Consider the following 23179-nt stretch of genomic DNA (forward strand, 5'->3'; position numbering starts at 1 on the left):
GTCCATGACTACAGGTACTCAGAGACCAGCTGTATCCAAAGAGTTGTGTAAGATAGGGGCATCTGCTCCCTCCCAGTGCTGTTGCCCAGCCCCACCCTGCCCTGTTCCCCAGTTAGTGTCTTTGCTTTCTTGACCTGGATATCTTTCCCATATCTATTAATATAAGCCCTTCTTATCCTTCAAGTCTTGCTGCCTCTCTTACCTCTCCCAACAGGCATTCTCAGATACTCCCAATGGGAGTTCCTCTCTTCCTCTTCTTTATTCCTTTTATTCTGTTATTATTCTATTATTATTTCTATTAAATAATTGCCATCAGTTGCTTTTAATTAAGAGTTACGGTTGTGTGCGTCACTAATCTTATAAACTTGAGTGTTTTAAGAGGCAAGAATCATGTCATCTTCTTCGTATGCCCAACAATGCCTTGCTTAGTAGTCCTTGTAGAGTCAACAGATTCAATGTTCAACCAGCAAATATTTGCAGAGCACCTACTTTGTGCTGGCATGATGCTGGGCATATAATACAGGTCAAAAATCAGGCCCAGCACCTGCCTAAGAATTTGTGGGCCTGAGCCCTGCCAGTTGCCAATCTGATGTGCTATATTCTTTGCAGTTTTCTTCCAGCCTTTTCCCGTAAGTTCCCAGTTGGTCGCTCTGTGAATTCATGTGTGACACTTCACCTGGGTGTGTTTCCTGGGTGAACAGATGGCTTTTACTGTGTCACACACACACTCTTGCGTTCTGCCTCCTCTCGTGAAAGTTGTAGTTATCTGCTTTCTCTCCCTCACTTGCTCTAAGGCAGGCTTAAGATGGTGTTGTTGCTGGGTGTGGTGGCTCATGCTTGTAATCCCAACACTTTGGGAGGCCAAGGCAGGCAGATCAGTTGAAGTCAGGAGTTTGAGATCTGCCTGGCCAACGGGGTGAAACCCCGTCTCTACTAAAAATACAAAAATTAGCTGGGCGTCGCAGCGGGCACCTGTAATCCCAACTACTTGGGAGGCTGAGGCAGGAGAATAGCTTGAACCCGAGAGGTGGAGGTCGCAGTGAGCCGAGATCTGCACTTCAGCCTGAGCGACAGAGCGAGACTCTGTCTCAAAAAAAAAAAAAAAGAGTGAGAAAGAAAGATGGTATTGTCTGTTAAGTGCCTTGGGTTCCAGAGAGAGGTGACCAGGTATGTTGTGGCTGTCTTAAGGGGAAGATTATTGTCAGGGGCCATTTGGAAAGTTCTTCCTGGCTGCCATGGCCTTTCATTGCTTTTTGTGGCATGTTAGCAGCACAACCAGATAGGGAGGAGGTGGTACTCCAGTTGGTTCCTTTTGTCTCAGGCTTATTCTCTGGTGCAGCTTGGTGGGCTGGTTGCAACCGTAGGTAAGAACCTGAGCTGGTAGCCCCTGGGGGTATGGCTGGCTGGCCTGCTTTCCTTCTTTCCCACTGTTTTCTTGGGAAGGTCTCTACAGACCTCACCTCTTTTAGGTGTGAGGAGATAAATAGTCCTTATTATCCCTTATTTACAGCCTTCATAGAGTCTTTGTAGTAATCTAAGTTAAGGTCTTAATGTTCTTATTTAGTTCTGTGTCCCCCCAATTCATTTGGTATTGGCTTTTCTTAATGCTGATTTCAAATCTTGGATGAAAATATATTATGAGACCATCTCTTCTTTAGATGTGACAAAGGTAATAACCATGGGGCAATCCAGACTGTGAAGAAAGCCTAAGGTGTAGAAAGCCCATGCGACACTAGTTTTAAGCCTTCACATGTGTTTGGGGAAATGCGTTTGTTGAATAAAGGATAAGAAGACAGAAGACTTTTTATTTTTCTTGTCTTTTAAGGTAGGACCATCAGATAGCATCGTCTTCCTAAAGTCACTCTCCTGACAAGAATCAGACCCCTCTGCCGGGGCACACCCTCCTCATGTGGAAGGCAGGGTGGCCTCTCCTTGGAAAATCTCCCCTCATGTTAAGTCTTCTGAGCGGATCCTGCTAATCCAGGCATGTAAAGGAGGAGTCCTCATCCAAGACCCAACATGGTGCACACCTCACAGGAGGAGGAATGGAAAAGCAGGCACCTTTGCTGGACTTTCCTTTTAATCCCCTAAATCCTGTCACACCCTAAGACTATGAAAGAGATGGGTGGAGAAGAGCCTTGGTGCTGTGGAAAGGGCCATACCCACTTTCTCCCTCATTGCAGCTCACAGTGTAGGTCTCACACCCATCCCAAGCACCTAAGGGGAGGGGTCGGTTAAAGCAGCACAATACAGTATTTGAACTCTTCAGGGGTTTGGGGAAGTCCAATATAACAGAAATAACCCAGGCCCTCAGCGTGGGGTAGCAGAGCATCCTCCTTTCACTCTGTCTCTTTCTAAGGCAAATACTCATAGGTAGAGTTTTTGCAAGGTAAGCTTACCTGAGCCAGAAAGGGTGGGAGGAATGTGAGATTGTTTTGATTGTTGTCCTTGGGTTTTGTTGTTGCTGTTGTTATTGTTGTTTATAAGAACTACAAGAGGCTGGGCACGGTGGCTCATGCCTGTAATCCCAGCACTTTGGGAGGCTGAGGTGGGTGGATCACCTGAGGTCAGGAGTTTGAGACCAGGCTGGCCAACATGGTGAAACCCCATCTCTTCTAAAAATACAAAAAAAAAAAAAAAAAAAAAAACTAGCTGGGTGTGTTGGCAGGCCCCTGTAATCCCAGCTATTTAGGAGACTGAGGCAGGAGAATTGGTTGAACCCGGGAGGCAGAGGTTGCAGTGAGCCGAGATCCCGCCATTGTACTCCAGCCTGGGTGACGGAGCGAGACTCTGTCTCAAAAAAAAGAAAAAAAAAAAAAAGGCTACAAGAGAGAATGTCCCTAGTTTATGGCTTTTCAGTACCAAAATAGTATGCATTCAGCAGTAGAGTAAGCAGTAGCAGTAGAATAGCACCATGCTTATGCATGACATAAGCTTCATCTGTAAAAGGCTGAAGTAATCATACCTTGCTGTAGGGTTGTTGTGAGGATTAAATGAGTTCGTGTATGTATAAGGCACCTGCAGCAGTGGAGTCCAGAAGAATTGTGCACAGTGGGTGGTGGGGAAAGATGAGGGCAGGGAACATTGGGGGAGGAAAGTAAATTCAATGGATGTCAGGAAATAGGCATCTTGACCTGTCCACAGTGTAATTCAGGCCACCACTCACTACTTAATTTAACTTTGTTCTTATCTCTAGACTAATGGAGCAGGCTCTCTGGGGGAAAAGTGTTGCTGCAGTAATCCTGTTAAGTGTAAGAACTGAAGGTTCAGGTTGAAGTCTCAAAGTTCCAAAGCCACCATCCCAGGGATAAAGACTGTGCTGGTATACGCTCAGCCAGCCTGGTACCACAGAAGGCTTTTGTCTCCAGCAGGTTCCTTTTCTCACTGGGCGTCACCTTTTCTGGCTACTCTCCGCCTGTCAGAGGCCAAGCCTTGAGTATATCTTCATCTTCCCACATCTTACTTGGCTTCTTTCTTTGTATGTATATTGAAAGAGTAAAGGCAGATAGGTGTGTGTTTCTCTCTTCAGTGGGAACCTTTGTGACTGATGGTTTCCAGGCAGAAGAGGTTCAAATTTTTAATTGTTTCCCTTCCCAACCCTTGTCATCGTCTGATAAAGGACTAGGCATTTATTTGCATACAATGACTTTTTCTGGTGGACCTCACCTTCACAGAAGCACAGAGGCAAACACCCATAGGGTCAGATACAAGCTACTTTAGCAAAATGATTGACTTTGACTGCTTTATGTAATCTAAACTCTTACCAGAACACAATATTTATGAATGTAGCAGATTTTTTTTTTTGCAGGATCAAGAAACACTACATTCAGTACTTTATTCGTTTAACTTTTAAGAACAAGTCTTTTGATAGTTTTAAAATTGTATGTGTGTGTGTGTATATATATATATATTTATTTATTATTATTTTTTTTAATAGAGACAAGGTCTCACTATTTTGCTTAGGCTGGTCTCAAACTCCTGAGCTCAAGTGATCCTCCTGCCTTGGCCTCCCAAAGTGCTAGGATTGCGGGCATGAGCCACTGCACCCAGCCGATATTAAATCTTAGTTTGGAATATAATAATGTAACTAAATAATACCAGAATTTTTTTTTTTTTTTTTTTGAGACCAGAGTCTCACTCTGTCACCCAGGCTGGAGTACAGTAGCATGATCATAGCTCACTGCAGCCTCAACCTCCCAGGCTCAAGTAATCCTCCCAGTCTCAGCTCCCGAGAAACTGAGACTACAGGGGCAAGCCAGCACACCTAGCTAATTTTTTTTTTTTTTTTGGTAGAGACAGAGTGTCACTGTGTCATCCAGGCTGGTCTCAAACTCCTGGGCTCAAGTAATCCTCCTTCCTCAGCTTGCCAAAGAATTGGGATTACACGCATGAGCCACCATGCCCCCCAAAAAGGGTTCTTTTAAATGCCTTCTTCACCTTTGTCTAAGTACATTGGGTAAATGTGGCACTAGTTGAACAAGATTTACTGAATTTTATCACAGGGCAGGCAGGCAAAGCCAGTTCTAAACAATAAAACAGAGATCAACAAAGATGACGGATGACTCTAAATAGCCTGTTTTGTAAAATTCAAAACGGGACAGCTGTGTAGAGAGAGGCACAGTTTTATAAGAATTCACTGGACCTGCCTAGTTTGGCTCATCTTGGTGCCTGCACATGCCCTGCCTTATTCCATTTACTTTCCTTCTGTCTCATCTCCTACTGGTGACCACAGTTACTGATGGGAGACCTTAAAGGTGATTATCTTTGAGACACATACTTTCCTGTGTGAAGACACAAAGATTAAACTCTATAAGACCATGGCACTTATTTGGGCTTGGGGCTTGGTTTATACCAAATAAACCAACAGATTAAAAAATAACAAACTAAAAACAAAGTTTCAAGTGCCAGGTATTTTGAAATAGCAGATCCAAATAATTTCATATTACTTTACACAACAAGACCTCCATTAGTAAGAGATTTGGGTTAGATTTTTTCTTCCTTTTTTTTTTTTTTACTTTAAACTTTATTGAGCTGTTTTACATACCATAGAATTCACCCATTTTAAGTGTATGGTTTGATAAGTTTTAGTATATGTGGACAGTTGTATATCCACAATCCAGTTTTAGAACATACCCATAACACTAAAAATTCTCTTGAGGTTTATGTTATCATTTACTTTTGACAGAAATGTTTTCTTCTGCTTTTGAAAAAAAAAAAAATTCTGGGCCATGTGTGGTGGTTCATGCCTGTAATCCCAGCACTTTGGGAAGCCAAAGCTGGAGGACTTCTTGAGCTCAGGCATTCGAGCCCAACCTGGGCAACATAGTAAGACCCCATCACTACAAGAAAAATACAGAAATTAGCTGAGCATGGTGTCGTGCTACTCTGGAGGCTGAGGTGGGAGGATCACATGAGCCCAGGAGGTTGAGGCTACAGTGAGCTGTGATTGCACCGCTGTACTCCAGCCTAAGTGACAGAGTGATACACTATCTCAAAAAAGAACTTTTTTTTTTTTTAGGTAATGAATTTAAATCATTAGGGGAACATACCATTCTTACTAACTTTTTGAAACAAAAACAAAGGTTGCTCGAAGATGTTATGAATAAAATGTTTAAGAGTATGAGGGTACAGAGCAAGGGAAGGAGGCTTGGGCCTATGGTTTACGAATGGTGATTGTTTTTAGCCTTCTAATTATATGTTGCATTAAATAAGAAGAAACCAAAAAGGAACCACTTGCCTCCATTCCAGCCTCGGTTCAGCATAAAACTCAATCATTTCCTTCACAAGCCAGCTGCTGTGCTATAGCTCAAATTGTAACAGAGAGCCTTTCTCTGCAGTGGAGGGTTAGGGAAAGAGGGAGTAAGTCAGCACAAACAATGAGGAAACATTTGCTGCCTTTCTGATTTCTTCCTAGAATTAACAGGCTTACAGCTGCATTTCTAGGTCAGCATTTCATATGCCTGAAGAGTATGAGGATAGTTTGAAAAATCAGAAGGAAGATGAGAGAGGGCTTTGCCTCTTTTTTAAGATCTTGCTAGCAGTTTTGTTTGTTGGTAATTTTTGCTGTCTCACTGACGCCAAGAGTCCTGGAATTAAACCCCGTGGCCAGCAGGCTGTTAGTTCGTCAGGAAATTCCAAATGGGTATAAATAAATTCTCTGCAACAGCTCCTGGGCTCTTTGCCTGCTAATGTGTGGAGTCCCTTTAATGCTGAGGGAAGTTTGCCTGAGACCTGGCTTCCTGCTCGCTGAAAATCACAGTTATTTTGTTTCTGGGTGGGTAAGTAAGAATGCCCACAAAAGAAAGAGAGGAGGAGAGCATGATGTTTGGGTGGGGGTTGGTGAAATATAAACTCGAGCTCTGTGTGTTGTGAAAAAGATTTGCTTTTACTTCAAGCTAGAAAGAATAACCCAGTACTTGATTTTTGGTCCAGTGAAAATTTCAGCTTTACCTATGGCTTTAACATAAAGATGTCATTGTTGCAGGAGTGAATGGTTGTACATATATATATGCTAAGATTTGAGTTTTTGAGTTTAAGGTTTAGTTCAATTCAATAATTTCCTTTTTTGTTGCTAAATCCATCTTTGGGTATTTGTTTTCAGCTCTGTTTTTCCAATAGGGAGTTGCTCAATATTCATTAAAGCTGGCTTCTTGTATAAACACTATAAAACAAAATAAGGACAGGGATTCATACAAATACTAGCTTTCCACTACCACCCCACCTCCCCCTGGCCAAAAAACTGTAATGTTTTGTTAGAAAAGCCTGTTTTATCCCTAAGTTAGCCAGTGCTCCTTTTCTGCTTTTCACAGAATTACTCTCTGAACTGGCACATTTCTTTTTTACGCTTAGAACAGCATGTTACTTTTGAAGAAAGTTTGGAAAATAACAGTCCAAGCTCATTCTCTTCTGTGCATGCATGATTGATTTGGGCTGTATTTCAGCAACAACTTTTAAAATGAGACAGTGGACATTAGAGAGCAGCATAGTTGGGGTTGCACTTAGGAGCCCATGGCATTTTGGCTGTTTTGAGACAGATTTGGGGTAAAGAGTTGCTGCATCTTGTAGTTGGCACTGAACACTGGAGAAGAGGGCCACTGTATAAACCGCAAGGCCCCTGTTACCATCACATGCCTCCCTAGCACAATGTGCCCTTTATTAAGACAGGCCGTTCCACTACTGAGAATAGTAACCCTTTCCGCTGTCTTCCCCTCACTCTTACGTGCAGCCTGGCTTCTGGCCTCTTAACCCATGCCCAGAGTAGAATTGGCAATACCCAGGAGGGACACTGCACTGGGGATTGTTAGGTCATGCCAGTTAGGATGCAGCTGGAAAGGTGCTGCTGAGTGGGACGTGCAGAGGGGAAGACTGCAGGCTCTGTCTGCCTGAGCTCATCTGGTCTGACACCTGCCGTGATTCATTTTTCTTCATGCCATGTTAAGAAATTTTGTATCAAGTCTAGTCGACAGTTACTCATAGCCTGGAAGCAACTTTGGAAATCAGAGTTCCACTGACCCCCCTCATTTTAAGGGTATGAATCACATCACTGCATTGTATGATTCCAGGGCTCTCTTGCCCATGGCTCGTGCATGAACTAGGAAGTGATCATAGTTCCTGTTCTTGTTTTATGAAAACAATAGTATACCTTCCCCCAACCTAGGCAGGCCATTCAGGACGACTACCCTGGAGGTGCTCTGGGTGGCTTAAAGCACCGTCTTTGCACAGTGTGTTAGAGAGCACTGTGCCCTGAGGACTTCGGGAGAGCTGCAGAATGAGTGTTCAGAATAATCGGCACTCACCTTTGCCCTCATGTTGTGAGATGGAGATATTTTAACCTGGCCATAATATGCTTTAAAAGTTGGGGGGTGTTTGTCTGCTTTTGCTTTTATTTCCTTCCTGTGCTGGACTGGGACTCCCCCTTATCTAACTGGTACATACCACTCTGCCCAAGCAGTGCGTGTGCACACACACATCCCCTACAGCTCCCTGCTGGCATCTCCTTCATACACTCTTAAGAAGAAGAAACCAATGTAGAACTCAAGATTTTAGCAGACTTACTTGGTCTTGAACAAGTATCACAAATACCTTAAACCCTGACTTCGTGGGGGGGGGGGCAAGGTATAGAGGAGGAAGGGTTCTGGATCCTCTCTGGGGGGCCAGGGTTGTGTTCTTCTCCAGACAACAGAGGGTGATCCAGTACCACTAGTAGTGACAATAGAACCCACCCATTGTTCTAAGTGACAACACACTGATGCAGGTACTATTATTTTCTCAAACAATTGGAATATAGTCTAATTTGCCGACAGCTGCAAAGCAGCAGAGCCAGGATTCAAACCCAGGCAGTCTGGCCCCAGAGTGCCTGCTTCAAATCACTACATCTCTTCCTCTGTTATACTTATTCATCAGTAGATGCCTAGATGTGGGGCTTTACACTTCAGCAGATACTAAGAGGGCCATGTACCAAGCGCCAAGTACTGAGGAATACAAACATAAATACTGCTTGAGGGCCAGGCGCGGTGGCTCATGCCTGTAATCCCAGCACTTTGGGAAGCCCGGCTCACGAGGCCAGGAGATCGAGACCATCCTGGCTAACATGGTGAAACGCCGTCTCTACTAAAAATACAAAAAATTAGCCGGGCGTGGTGGCGGGCGCCTGTAGTCCCAGCTACTCGGGAGGCTGAGGCAGGAGAATGGCGTGAACCCGGGAGGCGGAGTTTGCAGGGAGCCGAGATCACGCCACTGCACTCCAGCCTGGGTGACAGAGCGAGACTCCGTCTCAAAAAAAAAAAAAAAACTGCTTGACTTCTGCCTCCCCTAGACACTTAGAGTCTGGTAGAGAAACACAGGCATGTGCTTGCTAACTGTAACACAGTTCCGCGTATATAGGCAAAGTGACTTAGGAAACAAGAGGGAAGAAGGGGACCAGTTATTCCCAGGACAGAGCAGTTGAGGGTAAGTAGGGCTTTACAAAAATGAGGTATCTGGGTTGGGCCCTTTAGGACAATGCAGCTGATTTTGACAGATGGGAGAGTGTGGGGAAGGGTGTGCTGGGTAGAGGGGATAGAATGAGCAAAGATAGATAAGCTTGAAAATTTCTCAGTACGTTGAGGTTTGGGGTGGGGAGGAACCTGGGAGGTGCTGGATTGGGGCTAAATTGTTGACATTTCGTGCCACAGAAAAGAGCTTTTAGGCTTTCTTCTTTAAAGTGGAGCTCCTGGCACATCACTTTGCAAGGATAGTGATTGAGAAGTTGTAGACGTTTCCAGGAATACCTGAAACAAATGTAAAATTTCTCAAATAATATGTAATACAGGAAAGCAAAGCCATCTGCCCCTGAAAACAGGCTGCATATTTGCAGTATGAGTAACAGCAGAGTCTGGGCTGTGCTCCCTAGTGGCAGGCTGACTGCACTCGTGCACCCTAAGGACATTGATGCACAGATGAAGAAAGGAAAGACAGAAATAAAATTTATTTTTAAATAATTTTAATCGTACATAAAAAGAGCTCTCATGTCTTCCTCACCCAGACTCAGATTTCCCAGTGGTTAACATTTTACCGTATTTGTTCCATCTGTGTGTGTGTGTGTGTGTGTGTGTGTGTCTGTGTGTAGAAATGCAGTTGTCATGTCTTTTTGGCCTCCTTCCATCTGAAAAGTTCTCGTTTTTACCTTTTTTTCATGGCCATGATGGTTTTAAAAAGAGAGGCCTGACATTCTGTAGAATGTGTTTCAGGCAGGGTCCAGGCCATGCCTTCTTGGCAGGACAGTGCAAAAGTGATGCTCTGCTCTTCCCCATGCAGATACATGATGTCAACTTTGATCACCTGGTCGAGGTGGTTATTTGTCAGCTTTCTCATCATAGAGTCACCATTTTTTTTTATGATTGACATTTCATGCCACAGAAAAGAGCTTTTAGGCTTTATTCTTTAAAATGGAGCTCCTGGCACATGACTTTGCAAGGATAGTAATTGAGAAGTTGTAGACGTTTCCAGGAATATTTTCTGGTGAGATATTCTGAGACGACATCAGTATCTTAGTCTTTAGTAGGAAATCTCTACCCACTAGCCTTAGCTAGTGATTCCTACCTGAATCCGCCACTGTTCTAATAATTGGTCCATGGTGATTTTCTGTTGACATAATTCCTTGTATATATTAGTTGGTATTCCTACATATTTATTATAGCATGATGGACTCACAAGTAGATACCTATTCTCTGGATTGTAACTTGTTACTATCATTAATCATATTATTTTCATGCTCAAATTATCCTAGATTTGGCTAGTGGGGGTTCAAAAGAGTTTGAATCAAATATACCCTTGACACTGGCATTAAATAGCCAATCTGATGTGTGCTGACGATTGAGACTAATAACTGGTAGGCGGAGGGTGTTATCTGAGTTCTAGATATGTATTTATCTCAGACAGTATGGGTTACCTGCAACAAGATCTGTGGTAGGCAGGCCAACAGTAACACTCGGGACCCTAGAGGCAAGCCAACCTGAAATTCAGCTTGTCAGAGACCATCTGGTGGGTGGAAGTTTTGCGTTTTCAGAGTATATTGTTTAAGTTCCCCAGGCCTATCGTCTACCTTTAGCTTTCCCTGTTGGCCAATTCAGGCCCTGGTCAGATGCGGGTGGATAGGTACACAAAGCTGGAAACAGCGTGCTGCCCGCCTTTCTCTCCTGCCTCCAGAGACACTTGTTGGCTGTCAGGGTCGGTGTTGTCTTAGCCTCACAGGCATTTTCAGTCCTTGCTCTTCCCATCCTAGAGTTTCAAACACAGAGCGAGTCTGTGTTCTGCATCTCAACATGCTAAATCAGAACCTGGATTCCCTAAAATGTTGTCTCCTGTTTCTTCCTGCCCTCACTCATGCCATATCCGTCCTTCCCAGGTTAGATTTCTCATACTTCAGTGACCTTCAGAAAAGGAATCCCATCACTTTTCTCTGCGGTGAGTCATCCATTGGTTTAAAGAAAAAATTTTCTTTTTTAATAGCAGAATGAGGTAACAGAGCCCTAGAAGACAAGCCCAGAGACCGGATCCTGGTCTCCAGCTCAGCCCAGAGTAGCTGGAATTTGTCAGACCTTCTCAGTTTCCTCCGAAGTATTAGGGGCAGACAGAGTCAAGGCTACAGGCTGGCTAGCCCAGATGCAGACAGTGTCAAAGTTCTCATTGTGGAATACCACCAGAACTTATCTTACTATTACCACTTACCATCTAATTGGGTAGGTAAAATTCATATGGTGCAAAGGAGTTTGTTATACCTAGACAAAAATTCATGGGGACTTGAATAATCCATGGAAACCCTAATGGAGAATGCTGAGGAGAATTTTAATCTCCAGCATCTAGCCAGAGCAATCTTATTAAAATGCAAATCTGATCATTTCACTCCCTTGTTTAAAACCCTTCAATAGCTTACCAATGCATCTATGATGCAAAAACTTGATCCCCAGGGTCCTGTGGAATTAGGGCTCTGTCTGTCCCCTTTCTGCCTCACTGCAGTCTTTGCAAAGTCCTCTTCCCAGTTCTTAAAAGTGGCAGGTTTTGCATATGCTCTTTCCTCTGCCTAGAATTTCTGCCATCCCTCCACACATCCCCACCACACTGCCCGGTGGACTCCTTAGCTACCGCTCCCTTGAAGAACCCTCCCTACCCGTAGCCTAGGCAGGGTCCCTGCTGTGTTCCAACATAACGCCTGCATTGTGCTTTCACAACACTTAATACAGTTGTTATTTATGTGATCACTTGTCTGTCTCCTCCTATACTTCGTAAGTTCTACCCAGACAGGCTCTGTGTCTGTTTTGCTTAGCACCTAGCCGTGTTTGGCCTATTGCAGGCACTTAATAAATATTTGCTGAATGAAAGAATACATCCATCTTTCAGTGTAACAACTGCATCTTCCTTACATCAGCAGGAACAGGTAGATGTGGAAGATGGAGCTGGTATGGAGAAGGGTAGTGATGGGAGACAGTGGAAGATGTAGGAGTAGTGTGCAGGTTAATGTCTGTTAAAAAAGTCCAGATAAGATTATCTGTGAGAGGAAATCCAAAGATTTGTGGGGAGAAGCCAAAAGGAGTTAGGAAGGGTTAGGAGTACACGAAGCAAGACCACATTCTAACTTAATCATATAAACAAACCAAGCCTGTAAAATTGCAGTTATGCTACATATGTGTCAACTGACCTGATATTTCTTAGGAACTTCTGGCATATACTTTTGCTTTCTTTAATGTTACAATTTTATTTGCATGAAGTGTTTAGGTAGCTTTTTAAAACAGCTATACTAGCCTGGGCAACATAGTGGGACCCCCATCTCTATAAAAAATTTAAAAATTAGCCGGGTTTGGTCACACACATCTGTAGTCCTAGCTACTAGAGAGGCTGAGGCAGGAGGATCGCTTGAGCTGGGGAGTTCAAGGCTGCAGTGAGCTGTGATCGTGCCGCTACACTCCAGCCTGAGTGACAGAGCAAGACCCTGTCTCTAAAAGAATGAATGAATACATACTTACCTACCTACCTACGTATAACCTGAAGAGGTATTGGTGAATTGCAGTAGGCAGTATAAACTCTGTGAGGAGAAGCATTTCAGGCTTCTTAGAAAAAGCCTAGCACGTGGCAGGTGCCCATCATTTGAATGCCTGAATGAACGGGTTTTATCTGGGAGGGAAAAGAGCAGGCTTAAAAACAACTCTTTGGTAAATGCAAGAGCAAAAGAAAATCTCATCTGTTATACATTTCCTTTAAACCAGAAGGAGGAACACTCATATTGCTACCCTTTTTATTGTGTGTTCTCTAACAAATGGTGTTCCTCACACAAATTTGATACAGGTAGCGAAGCTGCTGGGTCTCAAAGAGCTTAGTGCTAACAGTGTCATCAGGAGATACCACCTGCTAAACCCGTTCAGAAGGACGCTGTTGTACTTCGCTGTCTTCTTAGAACACTTTCCACTCCTGGAAAAGTTGATGTGCTAACTTAATTACTCTCATACTCTGAGTAATTAGCTTCATGAGAACTTGCCTCTCTTCCTGAGTTCATCCTACTGGTTTGCTTTCCTGCTGACGTGGGATCTTTTTGACTGCTTTGAACAGCAGGATGCTTACACTCTGGGGCTTTTAAATGTGGAAATCTGTGATAATTATGTACTTCTCTAGGACTGACTCAGCTCTTCAAGCAAAATCTTCATGCTTCATGTGAGAGGGGACAATAACATTAATGGGAATTAGCAAAGTTCTTCAGTTTCAACAGTCAGGTGTGGTATCTGGCGAAGAAAAACACATAAATAGTGTGTGAAAGTTGTGGCACAGGGGTGTAATTATTTTTCACAGCACCGTCAGTCAGTAACTGGGCCTAGAGTGTGCAGCAGTGAAATCAGAACAAAGAAGTCAGTGTGTCCTAATTAATAGATAAAGTAATAATATCAAAGTCTCCTCCGTTTTAAAGTCCACAGGACACATTATTTCACCCCAGTGCTTTTTGCTCATATTAAAGAATGGCTCATTGTGGTAGAGTATGTAGAAAGTATTGAATGCTTTTCTTTACTCAAAAGTGGCATTTTTTATCACTTGAGCACTTGAGCGTAGTGTTATTGGCCCCAATAGGAAATGAAAGACTTGAAGACTACAGATTTTTTTTTGAAATGGAGTTTCACTCTTGCCCAGGCTGGAGTGCAATGTCATGATCTTGGCTCACCACAACCTCTGCCTCACAGGTTCAAGCAATTTTCCTGCCTCAGCCTCGCAAGTACCTGGGATTACAGGCATGCACCACCATGCTGGGCTAATTTTGTATTTTTAGTAGAGGTGGGGTTTCTCCATGTTGGTCTCGAACTCCCCACCTCAGGTGATCCAGCCGCCTTGGCCTCCCAAAGTGCTGGGATTACAGGCATGAGCCTCCGCGCCCAATGGAAGAATACAGATTATATGGCCAAAATTTCAGTTGCTATCTGTGAATTTTTATTCTTCTCGCTGTCCCCAGCACAGGCTTTCTCAGCCTCAGCGCTACTGACATTATGAGCTAGATAATTCTTTGTTGGGGGAAGGAGGGCCTGTCTTGTGCATGGCAAAATGTGTGCAGCAGCTCTGGCCTCTACACACTAGATTCGGGTAGCACCCCAAGCAGCGACAACAATAAATATCTTCAGGCATTGCCAAATGTCCCTTCGCGGGGGCAAAATCACCTCCATGCCTCGTTTGGTTGGTTTAAAAGAAAAATTACCTCCAGTTGAGAATCACTGCAAGCAGGTTAGTACTCGACTAGTTTCCTGCGATCTAATCTTCTTCCTGGTGAGTACGTTAATTTTTATGTCTTTCAAAACCATGTATTATTTGGACAGCAAGTTTAGTTTCATTAAAAGTTAAAATCATATAGTACTTTATGAATCTAGATGAAATGATTTTTGAAATATCCATAACTCCATTTCACTTTGTTAATGCAGAAGAATTGCAAGCAAATTTCTCACTGTTCTTGAGGCAGTAAATTGGGCCCCTCTCACAGAGCACTAAGTTTTATAGGAGATGAATATATAAATAAGGAGCAGACTTGCCATCAGTTTGTTGATTTCACCTTTTCTCTGAACACAGAGGAATTTGGTCTGAACTTGGAGAGTTTTCTTTAATCGATGCCGTTGCATTGGTGTTTGGTTACCCCAAATTGCAGAGTGTGCAAACTTAGTTGGGAGCGAGAGGGAGGAAATGGACTCTGTGACCCTTGGTGTCTAGGAGTGAGTTGGCTCAGAGATGATGCCAACCTAAGACAACATGGAGCCCAGTGTTAGTTAGCAGGCCATCCACTTACCTTGAGACGCTGGTATAAATTCTGGCAATGCCAGCTGTCATGTAGCTGTTTGCTTCACTTCTGCCTTTAATTACTTTTCTATGCACCCCATCCCCACTAGACTGTGAGCCTTGTGAGAACAGAGACTTTGTCCATTTTGTTCGGTGCCCCCAGCTCCGAGAACAGTGCATGGTAAATAGTAAGTGAAGATCCATAGAAAACTAGAGAGATAGAGAAAGAGAGACAGAGACAGAAAGCAGAAATTAATTCATGTGCCTTTATTATCAATATCAATTATAAATGTAAGTCGAATGTGTGAATAAATGTTTTATTCGGTCTGCACTTCCCACTGGGTATTATAACATTTTAACTGGTCCTATTGAATGTAGCCTCTTTCCCTACGTCAGTCTCACGCACGCACAATTGTCAAGACGATCTTTGTTGATGCCTTTTAGCCCCTAGTTTCAGTGGAAAAACTTGCCCTGCTCCAGGATGTGAGATTGGTGGCCTCTCCTGTACTCATCTTCTTCCCCTTGTCTAACCTTGGCATTCCTTCAGCAGCACCAACAGGTTCTGTCCTGGCTCTTCACCTTTTTACTCTGGTCATTTACCTTGTCTTCAGAACTCATCTCTCGTTAACTCGGTTCTGTTTTGATCACTAGTTTACATACTTTCATACTGCATTGTGTTTTGGTTTTTTGGAGTGGGGGCGGGGTTGTTGTTTTTTGGGGTTTTTTCAGACGGAGTCTCTCTCTGTTGCCCAGGCTGGAATGCGGTGGTGCAATCTCGGTTCACTGTAGCCTCCGCCTCCCAGGTTCAAGCGATTCTCCTGCCTCAGCCTCCCAAGTAGCTGGGTTTACAGGCATGTGCCACCACACCCAGCTAATTTTTGTATTTTCAGTAGAGACAGGGTTTCACCATGTTGGCCAGGCTGGTCTCGAACTCCTGATCTCAAGTGAACTGCCCACCCTGGCCTCCCAAAGTGCTGGGATTACAGGCATGAGTCTCCACTCATGGCCTGCATTGTTGATATATGCCTTTGTCACTGATCTCAATTAGTGTTAAGGGTGTTTGGTAGTCATCTCTCAGCTAGACTATATCTGATTTTATTTCTTAAAAATTTTTCCTCTTACTCCTTCCACTGAATAGGACCATTTTCTGTAGCCAATTAAGCTTTCAATAAATGTTTATATAATGAAAGTAGAGGTGGTGCCAGGAGCAGTCTCCACCACTGGATTTCCAGACATTCAAAAAATTTTTGTAAACACCAGGGACAGCCCTCCAATTCCAGAATATTTAGTTGGAAGCTATTACTCTCAGGATTTCAGTTGCAGATATAGCCAGTGGAATTTTGACTGTGCAAAAGCAGGCATAGTTCTGTTAGTCCAAAAAGGCTTAGTTAAGAGTCTCTTTATAACCCAGGTAGATTTTTTTTTTTAAACTGCTCTTTTTTTTTTGAGACGGAGTCTTGCTCTGTCACCCAGGCTGGAATGCAGTGGCGTGATCTTGACACACTGCAACCTCCACCTCTCTGGTTCAAGCAATTCCCCTGCCTCAGCCTCCTGAATAGCTGGGATTACAGGTGCACACCACCATGCCCAGCTAAATTTTTTGCATTTTTAGTAGAGACCTGGTTTCACCATGTTGGACAGACTGGTCTTGAACTCCTGACCTCAGGCAATCTGCCCACCTCGGCCTCCCAAAGTGCTGGGATTACAGGCGTGAGCCACTGTGCCCGGCCAAAACTGTTGTTTTTATACTTCCTCTTGATCCTGAATTAATAATTTAAGTTTTATTGTAACACTTTTCCAGTTAATAATTTAGCGTCTTTCTCCTTTTTAAGATCTAGTCTTAATTTTTGAGAGGGAAAGGGGGAAGAACTGTAGTACCTGTTAGAATTCAGTGTAACTCCAAGTAAACAAGACCCAAAACAAACGATAGCTAAAACAAAATAGACCTTTATATCTTTTTCACTTAAAAGTATAGAGGTAGGCTTTTTAGAAATGTTATAGTAGCTCTGATCCACAAAGTCCTTTGAGGCCCAAGTTCCTTCTAGTACATCGTTCCTCCACCCCTAGATATGAACTCATGTTTCAAAGTTACACTAGTGTTCTAGTCATCACATCTGCATTCCAGGCAGCAGGATGGAGGAAGGCACAAAGAAGAACATAGGTGAAAGGATTATTTCTGTGTTTCTTAATGGAGGTTCCTGGGGTATACTACATGACACTTCTGCTTACAGACTTTTATTTGCCCCTATTAGTGTGGAAGGAGGGGATAATGCATACTAAAGAACATCAAGCTGTCTTTGCCATGGCCACCCCTATTCATTCACCTCCCAAGTGAACTTTCTCATTTTATTGCAGTCAATTCCATTTGCCTTCCAAACAGAGACTTCTTGTAATATATTTTAAGACAAATGCCCAGGCCAGGTATAGTGGCTTACACCTGTAATTCCAGCATGTTGAGAGGCTGAGGTGGGAGGATTGCTTGAGGCCAGGAGTTCAAGACCAGCCTGAGCAAAATAGCAAGAACTCATCTCTATTAAAAATAATTTTAAAAAATTAAAATTAGCCAGGCGTGGTGCTACATACCTATAGTTCCCAGCTACTCAGGAAGCTGAGGCGGGAGGATCACTTGAGCCCAGGAGATAGAGACTATAGTGAGCCATGATCGCACCACGTCACTCCAGCCTGGGCAACAGAGTCGGACCCTGTCTCAAAAAAAAAAAAAAAAAAAAAAAAAGAGCAATACCCACGTGTTGTAAAAATTATAAAATATAAAGAATAAAAATCATCTATAATTCCACAACCTAAAGATAACAACTGAAACAATATCATGGAAGAAATGTCCTTAACACTAATATTTAACGAACAACTTCTGTCTTCAGAGCATCAAGATGTTTTTCAAAGTTTATTATCTTATTCTGTTGGCCAGGCACAGTGGCTCACAGCTGTAATCCCAGCACTTTGGGAGGCCGAGGCAGGCAGATTACCTGAGGTCAGGAGTTTGAGACCAGCCTGGCCAACATAGTGAAACCCCATCTCTACTAAAAATACAAAAAGTAGCTGGGCGTGGTGGCACACGCCTGTAATCCCAGCTCCTCGGGAGGACGAGGCAGGAGAATCCCTTGAACCAGGGAGGTGGAGGTTGCAGTGAGCCAAGATGGCGCCACTGCACTCTAGCAAGTTTATTATGTTATACTATATATTCAGTTATTTATTCCTTCAGTAAACGTTGTCAGACATCTCCTTTCTTCCCAGCATGTTGATAATTGGTGTGTGGTTGGGAGAGGAAGCAATGAAAAAAAAAATGTATATTTTTTTTGGGGGGGTGGGGGCGGAGATGAAGTTTTGCTCTTGTTGCCCAGGCTGGAGTGCAATGTGTGTGATCTTGGCTCACTGCAACCTTCACCTCCCAGGTTCAAGCGATTCTCCTGCCTCAGCCTCCCAAGTAGCTGGGATTACAGGTGCCCGCCACTATGCTTGGGTAATTTTTTATATTTTTAGTGGAGATGGGGTTTCACCATGTTGGCCAGGTTGGTCTCGAGCTCCTGACCTTCAAGTGATCCACCCTCCTCGGTCTCCCAAAGTGCTGGGATTACAGGCATGAGCCAGCGTGCTCTCCAAAAAAAATTTTTTTTAATTAAGTTTTTTGCTCTCTGGGTGCTTATAGTCTGGTACAAAAGACAAAAAAGTGTTTTCGTCTTGTTAAAGTTGGGAAATAAATCAGGGACTCATAAGTGCCTAATTTATGTTGATGTATGTAAACATACACTAGAAAACAGGATATTAAAAAAATAATGACACCGGGTAGTTTTATTGTAGAATAATTTTTACCATGGACAATTGTTTGTGAAAATGACACCTTGAAAACACATCTTACTTTTTTACTTGCTGGAGAATGAAACTTGAATTACAAGTCCTTTGGGTAGCCTGGTTTGAGCAGTATTAGGAAATAAGCAAGCCTAACTTAGTTAAATTCTAACCTCTTCTGATTCCCAGAAGTCCAAAGTTCATTTGGGGGTAATACAACGTGATACATGCTTTTTGTGATTTCTACAAGGTGAACTAAAGAAATAACTAAAGATGGACCAGTTAGGTTTTGGTAAAAACTGTGATAAGTTTTGTTGTGTTTTAAATACTGATGTTGAGTCAGTTCATCTTTCCTACTGAAAATCCTTAAGTGGGAAAAGTATAGAAAAAGTAGGAGTTACACCAAAATATTAACGCTTGCCACTTGATGGTAGGATCTGAGTGCCCTTTTTTTACGTTCTTTAAATTATCTGTATGTGGCTTTTTTTTTTTTTTAATGTTTTACAAGCATGTACTACTTTCGTATCTGGAAAAAGGTTTGTTTTTCTTTCATTTTTTAAGAAGAACTTTTCATCAGTGGCAAAGGCTCAGTTGAAATTAATGATAAAGGATAACTACTTGCCACGTGTCATAAGCCCAGGGCTGAGAAGAGTCAGGCAGTGCTCTGGAACCAGTGAGTGCTGCCCGGATCCTGAGAACCCGCAGAGAACAGTGGGGCTGATTGTGCCTCTGCACCTCCTCAGGTGACCGAGGGCTGGGCAGGAGGACACAGACTCTTTCATGAAGCAGTGACTAGTATAGGAAAAACAGAGCCTCTCTGTAGAGATGCTTAAAGTGCTAGCTTTATTTAAAAATCAGCTGGCAAAGCGGGAGTGAAGAACACACATTTTCAGAAGATACCGGTTTCCTGTTTTCATTAAGAAAACAGGGAATGCGGAACAGCTGAGTGCGGCGGGGGTGGTGTCACTGCAGCCGGAGGGAGACCTCGCCGGTGAAAGCTCAGCCTATGGCATCCGAGCGTGGCCGGCCAAGTTTACACGAATGTTGAAACTTCTCCTCACGGGGTGAGGATCGAGGGCGCCCGAGGCCGGGTCCGGCTGAGCTGGAGCGAGCTGTGCGGGGCAGCGCGGGCTGGCGGGGAGCGCGGCGGGCGCCACGTGGTAGGTGAGCTGCGAGCGGCGTGGGGCGGCCACCGCTGGCCGAATTCCGGGGGGCCTGGGCGAGGGGGGCCGGCCGGGAAGGTGCGCACTGCTGGGCCGCTTCACTCCACCGCAGGCCTACGGGAGTCCAGCTTAGACCCGCCGGCTCCCACACACACATCCCGGGAGGCCCGGATCAGCCTGCCTGACAGCCAAGCTGCAGCTTCTCTCCTGTTAATGGAGTTTCAGACAGTCCTGGAGACAGGTCTGGCTGCTGCAGCTTCTCTCCTGTTAATGGAGTTTCAGACAGTCCTGGAGACAGGTCTGGCTGCTGCAGCTTCTCTCCTGTTAATGGAGTTTCAGACATTCCTGGAGACAGGTCTGGCTGCTGCAGCTTCTCTCCTGTTAATGGAGTTTCAGACAGTCCTGGAGACAGGTCTGGCTGCTGCAGCTTCTCTCCTGTTAATGGAGTTTCAGACAGTCCTGGAGACAGGTCTGGCTGCTGCAGCTTCTCTCCTGTTAATGGAGTTTCAGACATTCCTGGAGACAGGTCTGGCTGCTGCAGCTTCTCTCCTGTTAATGGAGTTTCAGACAGTCCTGGAGACAGGTCTGGCTGCTGCAGCTTCTCTCCTGTTAATGGAGTTTCAGACAGTCCTGGAGACAGGTCTGGCTGCTGCAGCTTCTCTCCTGTTAATGGAGTTTCAGACAGTCCTGGAGACAGGTCTGGCTGCTGCAGCTTCTCTCCTGTTAATGGAGTTTCAGACATTCCTGGAGACAGGTCTGGCTGCTGCAGCTTCTCTCCTGTTAATGGAGTTTCAGACAGTCCTGGAGACAGGTCTGGCTGCTGCAGCTTCTCTCCTGTTAATGGAGTTTCAGACAGTCCTGGAGACAGGTCTGGCTGCTGCAGCTTCTCTCCTGTTAATGGAATTTCAGACAGTCCTGGAGACAGGTCTGGCTGCTGCAGCTTCTCTCCTGTTAATGGAATTTCAGACAGTCCTGGAGACAGGTCTGGCTGCTGCAGCTTCTCTCCTGTTAATGGAATTTCAGACAGTACTGGAGACAGGTCTGGCTGCATATTTTGAGTGATCACCTTCTCCATGTGGAGATGAAAGTTAAAAGGGAAAGAGAGAAGGACAGCTACGTTCTTTTAACACGAGCACAAGTTTCCAGGCACAGCCCTCCCGACCAGCCCTCCCATTCTTAGGCTAGAGCATGACTGCTGCTGGGCACTTCTTTCACATAGAATTCACTTCCCACACGTGTTAGAATCGAACAGCTAGAGCAATTTAATATTGTTTTAAATTGGGACGTAAGGAATATACGTCCTTTTTATTCCTCTGCTTGGCAATCTTATTTTTGTACTTTCTTTCCAACATTTGGGAAGAAAGCGGGCAGATGGAAGCAGAAGTGTTCTTCACAGCATTCACACTGTCGGGTGTAAATGTTCGGCAGTGCTGGGGGTTGGGAGGGCAGACAGCAACCAGGTTTGCTGGAAGTTACTTCAAACTGGACAGCAGTCAAGTGGGTTTGTATACTCAGGAGAGGGCAGGGAGACTGATGGCTTACATTTTCACTCATTGCTTTTGAGTTCTTTCCATAGCTCTAAAAATGCGCAGCTTATTAGCGTGGCTCTGGGAAAACAACACATGACCTGATCCTACAATTTAAAAAAATAAAAATGACCTTGCTTTTAAGTTTGAAATGCATAGCCCAGGTCAGCGACAAGGTCTGCGCTTTGAAAGGTTCTTGTGTTTCCTCTTTTAAATGTCTGGTTTAGCCTTAAGTAGTATTTACTGAGTGCCACATGATCCAGTGGTTGGAGTATGTAGGTTTTGCCCTTATCTTCATTCTTTGCATCTGTTTGAACTCATGACAATACAAAACAAGGTGTTCCTGGGATAGGGAATGTTTTGTCCAAAAGGAGTCAACACGGAGAAAACTCTTCCTACAGTTAAGACAGGGTTTGGTTTTGTTTTTAAATGAGGAGAGAAACTGAGAAGTGGAAAACACAAAATAGAGTTGAAGTCTTTCCTCTGTGTGCTTCTACTCATGCTGCCAGAGTTAATCACTAAATATCCCATGCCCCAGCTTTCTCAGCCGGGGAGGTGCCAAGGCAAATTGTAAGCCCATGGAGGTAGTCAGGAGCTGAGTGCCCTTGACCTCCATTTAGAAAGGCAGCCCAGTCTGCAAAAGACAGCAGCAGGGACATCTCATCCCAGGCCTCCTGGTTATGCTGCTGACTTTGTCTGTCTGCTACTGACTTTTAGTTTTTTTGTGTGCCTCAGATAACACTTTGAAAAACAGGAATCTTAATGTCTGCTGTCTATATTCCAAGAGACTGTAGATGACCAATGAAATTATCTACTGGACAATGCTTTCATGTCTTTTTTTTTTTTTTTTTTAATTGAGACGGAGTTTTTGCTCTGTTGCCCAGGCTAGAATGCAATGGTGTGACCTCGCCTCACTGCAACCTCCACCTCCTGGATTCAAGCAATTCTCCTGCCTCAGCCTCCCAAGTAACTGGGATTACAGGCGCCTGCCACCATGCCCAGCCAATTTTTTATTTTTAGTAGGGACGAGGTTTTACCACGTGTTGGCCAGGCTGGTCTCAAACTCTTGACCTCAGGTGATCCACCCGCCTTGGCCTCCCAAAGTGCTGGGATTACAGGAGTGAGCACCGTGCCCAGCCTTTCGTGTCTTTTATAATGAATTCTTTTAAAAATATTTAGTAAGGACTTACTATGTGCTTGTCTCTTAATCATTATCTCTGAGTACTGATGGACATAAAGATGGAAAAAGATGGAAATAGTAGACATTTTAGACTACAAAAGTGGGGAAAGAGGGGAGTGAGGGTTGAAAAATTACCTATTGAGTACGGTGTGCACTATTTGGGTGATGTGTACACTAGAAGCTCAAAGCTCATCATTACACAATATATCCTTGTAACAAGCCTGCACATGTACTCCCTGAATCTAACATACAGTTTTAAAAAATAATACAATCATTATCTCATTACATTGTTTTTAAGCCTGTGAGTTAAATATTTGCATCTCCATTTTTACTCAGGGAGAAACTGAAGTTAAGAGAGGTTTATTAACTTGCTTACCCAAGCCGGGCGCAGTGGCTCACGCCTGTAATCCCAGCACTTTGGGAGGCCAGGTTGGGTGGATCACCTAAGGTCAGGAGTTCGAGACCAGCCTGGCCAACATGGTGAAACCCTGTCTCTACTAAAAGTGTAAAAATTAGCCAGGCGTGGTGGTGCACCCCTGTAATCCCAGCAACTCAGGAGGCTGAGGTAGGAGAATTGCTTGATCCCAGGAGACGGAGGCTGCAGTGAACCGAGATCATGCCATTGCAGCTCCAGCCTGGGTGACAGAATGACCTGTCTCAAAAAAAAAAAAAACAAAAAAAAACAAAAAAAACTTGCTTACCCAGCTGTTGTAGATCCAGGTTCAAAACAT

General features: G+C 44.0%; 2 protein-coding genes across 64 annotated transcripts in view; one reads left to right on the forward strand and one right to left on the reverse strand.

Moving 5' to 3' along the window:
• The window catches only part of KANK1 (KN motif and ankyrin repeat domains 1), a 275809-nt gene that overhangs the window by 217214 nt on the left and 35416 nt on the right, over positions 1 to 23179 (forward strand). For 4 of the 63 annotated variants that reach the window (NM_153186.6, NM_001354342.2, NM_001354344.2 and 1 more), the window contains exon 1: positions 19545 to 19739. The exons of 52 other annotated variants lie outside the window; for them this stretch is intronic. The gene's annotated coding sequence lies outside the window, so the exon portion shown is untranslated. Of the gene's footprint in view, positions 1 to 6171; positions 6279 to 19544; positions 19744 to 23179 lie in introns of those variants that run through there. 7 more of the 63 variants (NM_001354337.2, NM_001354339.2, NM_001354338.2 and 4 more) reach the window with 3 other exon arrangements.
• On the reverse strand, positions 19400 to 23134 carry LOC107987042 (phosphatidylinositol 4,5-bisphosphate 5-phosphatase A-like). The gene has a single exon (XM_017015393.3). The coding sequence runs from the start codon at positions 20815 to 20817 to the stop codon at positions 19915 to 19917; it is 903 nt and encodes a 300-aa protein (XP_016870882.1). The 5' UTR covers positions 20818 to 23134; the 3' UTR covers positions 19400 to 19914.

The sequence above is a fragment of the Homo sapiens genome, chromosome 9 (genome assembly GCF_000001405.40).
Source record: "Homo sapiens chromosome 9, GRCh38.p14 Primary Assembly".
In the NCBI taxonomy this organism is placed as follows: Eukaryota; Metazoa; Chordata; class Mammalia; order Primates; family Hominidae; genus Homo; species Homo sapiens.